This window comes from Homo sapiens, chromosome 6 (assembly GCF_000001405.40).
Source record: "Homo sapiens chromosome 6, GRCh38.p14 Primary Assembly".
Classification (NCBI taxonomy): Eukaryota; Metazoa; Chordata; class Mammalia; order Primates; family Hominidae; genus Homo; species Homo sapiens.
In genome coordinates this window covers 46,351,284-46,362,041 of record NC_000006.12, presented here as the reverse complement: position 1 = coordinate 46,362,041, position 10,758 = coordinate 46,351,284, and the positions used below count along the sequence as shown (strand labels likewise).

The 10,758-nt window shown below is 41.1% G+C and overlaps 1 protein-coding gene and 1 long non-coding RNA gene across 5 annotated transcripts in view; one reads left to right on the top strand and one right to left on the bottom strand.

Annotated features, from left to right (window-relative positions):
• The window catches only part of RCAN2 (regulator of calcineurin 2), a 271,235-nt gene that overhangs the window by 129,929 nt on the left and 130,548 nt on the right, over positions 1-10,758 (top strand). The gene's annotated exons all lie outside the window — the stretch shown is intronic.
• The window catches only part of LOC101926915 (uncharacterized), an 89,185-nt gene that overhangs the window by 3,467 nt on the left and 74,960 nt on the right, over positions 1-10,758 (bottom strand). The window contains exon 3 of the long non-coding RNA NR_125838.1: positions 648-931. This is a non-coding gene — a long non-coding RNA (uncharacterized LOC101926915). The remainder of the gene's footprint in view (positions 1-647; positions 932-10,758) is intronic.

Genomic DNA, 10,758 nt, shown 5'->3' with positions numbered 1-10,758 from the left:
TGAATTTCAAATTCCAAGACTTGAATAAAGATTTAAGTTTCAAATTCCTTGCTTATTGATGTTTTTCTCTGTCTCTTAAAACTTTCTCTGCTGAAATTCTCCAAACCATGATGATAGATGTTTGAAAAGTTCAGATAAAAATATATAAATTCTCAGGATTTTATCCAGCTAAAGATAAATGACCATGGGATTAACTGCAAACTCCTCTTTAGGTATCAACAATATCTCAAATCTTTTTAATCTCTAAAATAAAACCTTTAGGAGCAGTGACTCCATAATAGCAAACAACCTCTCCTACCATCAAGGTAAGAGGTCAAGAAAATTCAAACTAATCCAATATCAATAAATCTAGGTATCACTTCACCCCATGAAAAATTGGCACCTAGTTCTTAAATAAAGTATGCTATAAAAAGTGTTTATTTAACAAACTTTAAACGAAGTCATTTTCATTAAGAAGATATGCCATTTTGTTTCACTGCAATCTAGACGTATTTTCAGGTTCCCTTGGTTAAGTCAAGAGCCCAATGCAGCATCAACATACTTTTAAATAGGTTGTCCAATCTGTTGTTTTAGATAATAACAATAGTCAAACTAGTTCTTTTTTTCTTTCTGAAAACAAAAAGCAGTTGGAGGGGTGAATGTTTTACCTTTCCCCTGGAGTTGTGGCATTATGGAAGCCCAGTGTGGCCTGGGAGTCAAAGGTGACTACAGATTCCTCCATCTTTAGCTACTCTGCTGGGCTTCTTGTGCACAGAGGTTTCAGCTCATTCATTCCCCCTTTGATTTCTGGTCTCATTACATGCAGACTCTCCTTTCTCTCACCCTTCCCCCAGGATAGAGTTCTCCATGTCACTTCTTATGCTCTGGGCCTGCTGTGCATCCAAATTGATTTTCACTTTTCCATGTCAAGGCTGCAATCCATATGGAAATTCTGGAAGCACAGAGGTGTTCAGAAATTTGTTTGAAACAAGATCTAGCCTTAAACCACTTTGTGATTTAAGGAGCATCCAGATGTTTAGACATAAAACACTATTGCTGTGATTAATTGAATGGTTTTTCTGAATACTCAAGTTTTACACATACATGGGGGTAGGGAGAAGGCCTGTTATTATACCTTCACTATTCAACCTCCATTGTACAAAATTCATGATCATTTTAAAAACATACATTAGAACTGCATTTAAGAGTTCACCCTTCTCTCCATTATCAACAAGTAAGTCACATTTCTAGATTACTTCCCACTATAGCAAATGAAAGCTCATTAGATAGAACCAATACAGATTTGTGTTCATTTGGCTATTTGGTACCAAACAAATTGTTGATTGACCACTTAAAAGCAGAACGTATCCACTTGTTTTTGTACCTTATAAGTCCAGCCTCTGCTGTCTTTTATCCTCAGTTTCTTAAAACAGTGATGATTTCTTCAAAATAGTTTCTCAGTAAGATTTTTTGTCTCCCTCTCTTATCTACATCAAGCCCTCTTTTTTTTTTTTTTTTTTTTTTTTTTTGAGACGGAGTCTTGCTCTGTCGCCCAGGCTGGAGTGTAGTGGCACGATCTCGGCTGACTGCAAGCTCCGCCTCCCGGGTTCACACCATTCTCCTGCCTCAGCCTCCGGAGGAGCTGGGACTACAGGTGCCCACCACCACGCCCCGCTAATTTTTTTTGTATTTTTAGTAGAGATGGGATTTCACCATGTTAGCCAGCATGGTCTCCACCTCCTGACCTCATGATCCGCCCACCTCGGCCTCCCAAAGTGCTGGAATTACAGGCTTGAGCCACAGCGCCCGGCCTACATCAAGCTCTCTTTAAACCCAGGTCTCTTAAGACCTTGGTATAGAACGTGGTTCATGGACCAGCAGCATCTGCATAACCAGCAGCAACTGCATAGTTGGTTTGAAATGCAGAATCATATGCCCCACCCTAGAATTTTCATTTTAACAAGATCCCCTGGGGGATCTCATCACATTAAAGTTTGAGAAACACTAGGTTTAGGAAGGCTAGGAATTTTTCAGAGCCTATTAGTAGTTAGAACAAAAAGACAGGATTTGTGTCAAGTGAAGGACAAGAGATATGGTGGTGGAAAGCACCTGGGCTTTGAAGTTAGACACACCTAGATTCAAATCTTGGGTCTTGTTCCTTTAGGTCTGGAAACAAAAGATTTGTGATCTCTGAACTTTGGTTCTAGCATCTGTATATTGTGACTTATCAAACTTTTTTTTTGGTGAAAATTAAACGAGATATGATCACACAAACAGGATATATTCATTGATAGCTGATGCTTAATACATGTTAATATTCGTTTACTCATTCAGTCCCTACTATATGCTTCTTCCTCGTTCTTAATGGTTGTCTTTTCAGCATCCCAAATCATTCAGAGCATGATTATGCACTGTTTTATATATTCAGACATGTCTTGAATGTATCTAAATATATAGGCCCAGAAAAATGATACATAACCAAATTCATAAAATATAAACAGTTGAAAGATTTTGATTAACTACACTGGAGGATTCTGATAGAATTAGAATGAAATTAGTGTTGGAATTAGCATGTGCTCCAATATTTCTGCTTTCCTACAATTTGACTGACAAATATCTTTAGACTCTAGGCCGAATGTTGACATAGATGAAGTACATCTTTGCTGTCTTCTCACTTCTCAGGCCATCTTCTTTGCGTTTTAGAGCCCAGTCCCTGTCTCTGTATCACACCGGAACTGTCGAAAAGCTGTGGGGCTGATAATTACAGCCCTGTGCTACTATTTTTCTCCATGTGATTTTTCTTTTCCAACAAAAGTCACTTGTTCTGAGCTCTGTACTTTCCAGTGTCAAGGTTGGGCACCTGTTACGCCTTAGAGCAGTGGTTTTCAAAATGTGATTTCAGGACCAGCAACAGCACCAGCTGGGAACTTGTTAGAAATGCAAATTCTTATGCCTTACACTAGATCCGATGATTCAGAACCTCCACAGGTGAGGCCCAGAAGTTTGTGTTTTAATTCTGATGTGCTCAAGTTTGGGAACTAACTACATGAGAACTAACTATAGAATGGAATAAACTGTGGGACTCTAAACACAGCAGGATTTTCTAGCTGTAATAGTCCCCCAGACGTCACCTAGTTTAGTGGTTCTCCACCCTGGCTGCATATTGGAATCACCTGGCAGCTTTAAACGACACCAATGCTTAGGTCCCAACCCTGGATGTTAGAATTTAATTGGCCCAGGGTGTAGCCTGGGCATTGGGATTTTTCTTATCTCCCAGGTGATTCTAAAGTACAGCCAGAGCTGAGGACCACTGATCAAGACCAGCCCTAGCAGCATATTTAAATCACCTGCAAACTCTAACAATACCTACCTCTCCTATCTCAGACCAATTGAAACTAAATCTCATGGGGCCTGAGCATCTGTAAGTTGTCAAAAGTCCTCTTCCCTGATACATGGGGAGGTTGAGAGTCACTCATCAAGTGTAGCGCTCTCACTTTATAGATGAAGAAACATGGAAAATTCTTCCCCAAAAGCCCATGATCAGGGCTTAGTTCCTGCTGATGTTCCCCCTCCTCCTGGGCATTCATATTTTAACTGAGGACATTTTAAATAAGAGTAGGGATGGGAGACTCTCAGGCCCTTCCACCACCTTTGGAGATATCTGGGGGCCTGGTGTCTTCCCCTCCCCTGCCACTGTCCCTGCTCTGAGCAAGCTGTCCCAGGGAAGCCCTGGGGAAGTGTGCTCATGATAGTGAGCAGGAGGCCTCCAGCATGATCATTACTGGAGTGTATTTTTCATTGATTTGATAAATTCTGTTTTACTCCATGGGATTTACAAAAGTAGGAGAAAGGATTTCTGCAGCAGGGTCTAATTCTGCTTTAAAATGCCACAACCATCTTTCCTAGGACCACAGAAGTGCTTTTGCTTAGATAAATGTCATTCTAGACCTAGGGCGTCACCGGGATTATAACGTTATTGAATTTTCCGTCTGTACCTCTAATTTGCATGTTGCAAAAATAAACTAAAGATTTTATACAAAAATTAGTTCTGAGGTGACCGGATAGATTTTTCCAATTCACATTAAGCCAGTGTATCCTCTGGTGAGGGAAAGGAAAGATAATACCTCGTCTGGAAGCTGGAAGAGACTTCACCTAAATTTCTTCCTGCCCTGGACAAGGTGAAAGCGAAAGTACTTTAAATTAATGTTTCCTTGCCCTAGCTGCTTCTTTATATTGTCTGCATTTCCCAAGCAATTTTCAATTCTCCTTGCCAACTCCTGCTAGAGTGTTAGTACCCTAGTTAATAAGTTATTATGAACAACTAAAAGCATCCCAGCTTCAACATGTACTAGCTGTGTGACCTTGACTGTGTCAACCCTGCTGAGCTTCTGCTCCTCTATCTCTAAAACAGGAACACTAGGACCTCCATCATAAAGTTATTGAGAATAATGGAGAGTATATATGGGTTTTAAAGCACTCAGTGCCTGACATGCAATAAGCAATATATAAATGTTTGATGTCTTATTACCATTGCACATTTCCTTTTATCATCTTCTCCAAACATAAGGAAAACAACTGACCAGTAGACTCTTCATTAAAAACAAAACAAGAAACATACATTAAAATTATTAACTGTTACTAATAACTTACCCATATCTAAGACCTGATTTTCATTTCATGAATGATCTTAGTGACTCTTTTTTTGAATCATCTCCAAATTTCCATTTGAATTTTAATGGCATAAGCAGAAATGGACACTTCTATCGGGTCTGATTACTGTCTGTTTTAGTGAGAAACTCCATATTTAGCCATCTGAATTTCATTTAGTTGCCCTGAAGTTTATCTTCAGCTAGGATGGCCAACCATTCTGGTTTGCACAGAACTGAGGGACAAATTTTTCTACCCCATCTTCAGCCTGTGGCCAGCTGGGCCCTTATGTCTTGGCAGAGGCAGCCTGATATGGCAGCCTGCTCCACTAAAAATTCCTTAATCCTGAGATACCCAAATACCTGGCAATGGCAGTCTGCACAGCTGGAGAGGGTCAAATTTACCCCAACAGAATTACAAGAACTGAATGGGTAAAGACTGGCTTCAGAAAGTAAATATTGGGAAGACCAGAATATTCTCTCTACTTAATGATCCACCTGTTGAACTTGATAGGTCCTTTAGCCCCCTTGGAACTTCGCTTTTCTTATTTGGTAGAATGGGTATAATATAATGTTCATCTGACAGGGCAGTTGACTGATCTGAAGAAGCAATATCTGTGTTCCTCCGTAAGTGTTCATTGCATACAGGCCCTGAGTTAGACTCTCATTTCTCCCACTTCCTCATTCTTTGACCTTTGGCAAGTTTCCTTCGTTCTCTGAGCCTCCCATTTCTCATCAATGAAATTGGGCATCACAGCACCTCCCTTACAGGGCTTTTCCAGCCCACCTGAGGCACGAACCTGTGCACGTTCACATCCATCCAAGCCTCTGCCCTGACCACACCAGTTGCATCCATATCTGAAAGGAGTGATTTCCCCCAGGAGGTTTCTAATTGGCTGAAAAAGAGGTTCTCAGCCTTGGATGCACATTAGAATCATTTGAGGACACGTAGGAAAAAAAAATGCCACCCTCCAGGTTTCCCTCCAGACCAATAAGTCCAAATCTCAGAGGGTAGCTCAGAGGGTTTAAACATCACTTTCTAAGTTTTCACTGGGCTTGAGGGAGGGCACAGAGCTCCCCACAAAGAGCAGGTATCAAGAGAGGCCCATCACTGACCCCAGACTTGTCCATGAATATCAGAGAAGGAATTCGAATCAAGCCCTGGCCTTTGATATGTGTCAGTTCAGCTTACTGATCCGGGCAGGTTTGTGAATAGGAGCCTATAGACTGTTCCCTCTTTTCCAGGCGTTCCACTTCTTCAGTTGGTCTCCAATTTACTGGCCCTGTTTCCATAAGCACCTTGTAAAGTAAGTTCACCACATGAGTCTTTTCTTGTCCTTAGGAGGGCTCATGTCTGTGTCTGTGTCTGTGTCTTTACAAACAGATGCTCTAAAGTCACTCTGTATCCTCCCCCTTGCTGAGCAAGCCCTTCGGAGGCAGCAGGATGGGGTGCTCCAGCCAGCTGGGTTAGTAGAGAAGGCATCAGCCAGCCCAAGTGGAGCAGCATGAGGTTCCTTAGCCACACAGGCCAGGCCTGGAAATATCCCCATTATTTCCTCACTTCGATTTTCAAGCAGTTTAACCAGAGGACTTTCTTAGGGTGGATCTACCTCAGGAGATAAGACCAAACTTTATCTGAGTCACAAGTTTTTGTTCTACACCATTTCATTCTCTGCCTTCTTTGGCACTCTTGAAACTGGCTAGTTTCTTAGGTAACCCAGCAAACAATGGAAATAACAAAACTGAAGATTTCCCAAAGTTCCATTAAAGACTGGCCACTTTGTGACACTGAGATTTGGGTGATATATTGCCTAGTTGGAGCATCAGTGTTTTTCAAAGCATTTTAAGCTGTAGGGTCTGAGCTGAGTGGGTCTGGGTTTAAACATGACCTCCTAGAGGGAGAACGGACATAGACATTATCACAAACATCTTAACTTATAGAAGAAGATGTCAAGGGCTGGCACTGGAAGACACTAGCCCAGGTGGCAGGCTTCCTTGACCAGTCGAGCTGGAGCCTCATTCCCAGCCTCCTGTTCAGAGTGGCTTCTGATAAACACTGGAGCCCCTATTAAGGGGCTTCTAGAACTTACTAGTGATCCATGAGCCACTTGTTTCTGCATCTTCCTATGGGGGAAGAGACTCCATAGTTTCCATCATGTTCACAAAGTGGCCTGTGATCCAAAATAGCTAGTTTTCTAGCCCTTTTCATTATAAGAAGTTTACTTTAAAAATTCATTCATAATGATTAGTATACATATTTGGGGGGTATTAAAAAGACAGTAATTATATTACCATGCCAGTTCTACCAGTCACAAGTATGAACAGGTTGAGTGATTGATGAAGGCTTTATGCCATAGCTTGTTGTATTTCCACTACTATGAACAATTGCTAGGAAATTCTTAGGGTTAGCTAATGTCCATTCCAATACAACCTAGGAATTATTTACAAATTTAATGTGGCATTCTGCCTAACACACACACACACACACACACACACACACACACACACACACACACACATATATAATCTTTTTCCTGAGAAGTCTCTGCAGGTTTTCTAGAAGATTAGAAAGCTCATAATAAATATTTTGTTCAATAATTGAAATGTGCTTTATTGCCATTAACATGGCAAGCCATCTGTGAGAAGATTGTAAAACATTTAAACATTGGGTGCTAGTTGGACAACGTTGTGAGATTTTAAAGCACTTAAACATTGGGTGGCAAGATCAGTGACTACATTGGCCTCACTTTGCTATCACCTGGGAGCTTTAAAAGAGACTGATTCTGGCATCCTACTTCTAGAGATTCTGACTTAATTGGTCCAGAGTATGATCTGTGCATCAATATTTTTTTAACTTCTCATTTTGAAATAATTACAGACTCAGGAAGTTGCAAAGGCAATACAGAGAGGTTCCTTGTACCCTCCATTCAGCTTTCTCCAGTGGTAACATCTCTCATAACTCCAGTCCAGCATCAGAGTCAAGAAACTGACATGGGAATAATTGTGTTAAATAGAAGACCACAGAACTTATTTAGATTTCACTAGTTTGAGTGTCAGGACACGTCACAGCTCCCCAGGTGATTCTACTAAATAGTCAGAGTTGAAAACTTCTGCCGAAAGTGCTGTTTAGGGTTTCTTCTAACCATGAGTCAGGGATTCTACACACACACACACACACACACACACACACACACACACACACACACACACAGTAAAATAACACACCATACACATGTACATGTGTGCAAGTGCAGACCACATCATGCATAGGCATCCTGAAAACTTGAGACTTTTAATAACATTGCAGGATTAAAGTGACTGACATTTAAAAGGAAACTTAACTCCTGGAAAACTGTACTTCAAAATTGTACAAAATATATTCTGGTTTGTATCCCATGTCAAACAAAAGATGTCTGCCATACCCGAGAAAGTAAACCAGGGCTTATGACTCCCAGAATTAAAGTCCATATTAGTAATGAGAAGAAAAATCCATGGGTTTTAAAATGTCATTTATGCATGCAATTTAGGTCTTAAAGCCTGATAACATGGTAAGATACTTCTTGCATGCATAATTATGTTTATAAAATTGCCATTTATCATGCTCCAAATGCATGTAAGCAACTGCTGTTCTCTGTAAATAAATCAGTGTTTCCTTCTCTGCCGCCTGGGAAATTAAACACTGTCCTGGGCAAGTTTCCATACTTTTTCCTCTTTAAAAAGAGTTGAAATAGGTATTAATCAGTGAAGCAGTGGGAGTAATGAATAACCCTCACATCTCATCCTAGCGTCTACTCTCCGGTATTAACTGCAAGGTTAAATAGGGACATTTGTAACCATAACAAGCCCCAAGCTGAACTTAAGTCAGGGTACAAGAACTTAACCCCCATCTTACACAAAGAGTAGATTTCTTCTTATCTGGGATAAAATTTTCATCAAGATACTTTTGGAATTTATTTACTAAGGATTGTCTGTGCAGGATCTGTCAGATTCCAGTTGCTCCCACCTGCACCTGCACTGTCTCTAGATACTGGTATCTCAAGTTCTTTCAAATTCTCTCCTCCCCCACACCCAAAAAGCAAAACCCATTGTCCCTGGGTTTTCAGGTACACGATGAGAAAGTACCCATTTGCAATTGTTGTACCTTGAGTGCTTGTCTCAAAAACTACCAGGAAGAAGCTCAGGCCCAGAAAAACAAAAACTGGTTGGATCCAGAGATGCCTGAGCTGGAGATGAACTTTGGCAAACTCCCCTCATTACCATACTAAAAACCCACCCAGGGAGGAGCTTATTTGCCATTTTCTACACATGTGACACATGATTGGCAGCTGCGCCTGCACTGCCTTTACTCCACCTCTACATGGAATGACTCAGCTAACTAACCCAATAAAAGCCCTGTTTCACCTTTATTTGGGGAAGCACTGCCCTGGGAGCTATGCCTGGTGTCCTCCTCACTTGGCAAGTAATAAAATCATCTTGTTAAATCCTCCTTGTCTGTGGTCATTGGACTGCCACCCACCAGGCCATCCAACCTGCCCATCGTGTGGGTTACAGTTTCAGATGAGAAATGGCTGACTCTTGTCTTCAGAGACCTCCCTGGACTCCTTATCTGTGTATCTTCTTCCTTTACAGTGACAGGACCTTTTTTTCCCCTGATTCCTCCAGGGTACTCAGTGTCCTCATGTTCCCCTGACAACTTCCTGTTTCTGGCCTGGATCCTGGGTCTCCCAGGGGAATTTTACTTAGATGAGTTCCATAAAGTTCTAGAGCACAGTGAATGTTTCAGTCAGTTTTGAAAATATTCTTTCTACCTAATATTTTGAGGAGAGGTTCAGGTCTGGAATGGCATTTACAGGAGCCCAGCAAGGCTCCTGGTGACCTGGAAGTGACTGTGATGGAACCTCGTGTACATCAGCCAAGGGGAGAGGCCGATGAAGCCTCCTGATTCTGATTATATAACTTTCCTGCTCTGGTCTCAGGCCCCAAAACTCAGTCCTCAGAGGGGAAGGAGGACGGGGTGGGATGGAGGGAAATGGACCATTCTCAGAGATTTGGGTACAAATCATCATTTCCTCCTCTTTGCTACACTTATTGATCCATCTTTTTATTTTCTTACTTAATTAGCTGTGAATTTGTAGCATCCTGAGTAAATTCATTTGAACATGTTGATTATCGTAGATCAACTGGATTAAGACAACAATATTTTGGATATTACCAGATTAAGCCTTTCCTGTGAACAGAGAAGGTGCTTGACTAATTATCATGATTTCAGACATCCCAGGAGAGGCCTCCTTAGAATGTCCTTAGCCCACTGGGGAATACCTTAATGTATACTCTTATGTTCATGGCTTATGTTTGTGGGGGTAGTGGGTGGCTGTTGAAATCAAACTATATTCTTAGACAGGTTACATTATTTTAAAGGTGCGTGTCTTTGATTTACATCTTAATGGAAGGTATCTGACCTTTTCTAGAGGCAAGCATTGAACAGAGGGAAGAGGTAAAGATCAAAGAACACTCTAAGTAAACTACACTGAGTTCCTGGGGACACAAAAGGGAATTCTAGAGGGCTGGGAGCCACAGAAAAATGTCACCTTCCTCTCAATTTCCTCGCTTCCCAACTGCCACACCATGGTCATAAAAATAAACAAAACCAGTCTGTGCCATCAGCTTCCTGGACCATCTAGGACTGCATGCAGATGCATTTTGTTTTGTTCATCCATCCTTGCCAGTGGTATTTATTATCTGGATCCATTGAATCACTTATTTTCCTGTCTGTGAGCTGGCCTATTTTGCCAGTTTGATGATGTGTGCTGTTTACTAGAGGAGCTATTAAATTTCTCACCTGTGTATCTTGTGAGAGCTGCAGCTAGAAGATAAAGCTTCTTGGAGTGTGGAGCATTGGTATGTGAGAGATTTTCAAGGACATGGCTTCCTTCAAATCCCTGCTACACAATCTAGATTAGAATCTAAATAAAACATCCACACTAGCTATCCTTATAGGTTTCAGCAGTCCATCATAACAAGATTAATTCCAGGCTGGAAACATTTTGACTAGGATGCTAGATCATTAACAGGTTTTATATGCTGAATTAAAACTCAGATATCACAAAGAATTGCCTAAAAGGGAACAGGAAGC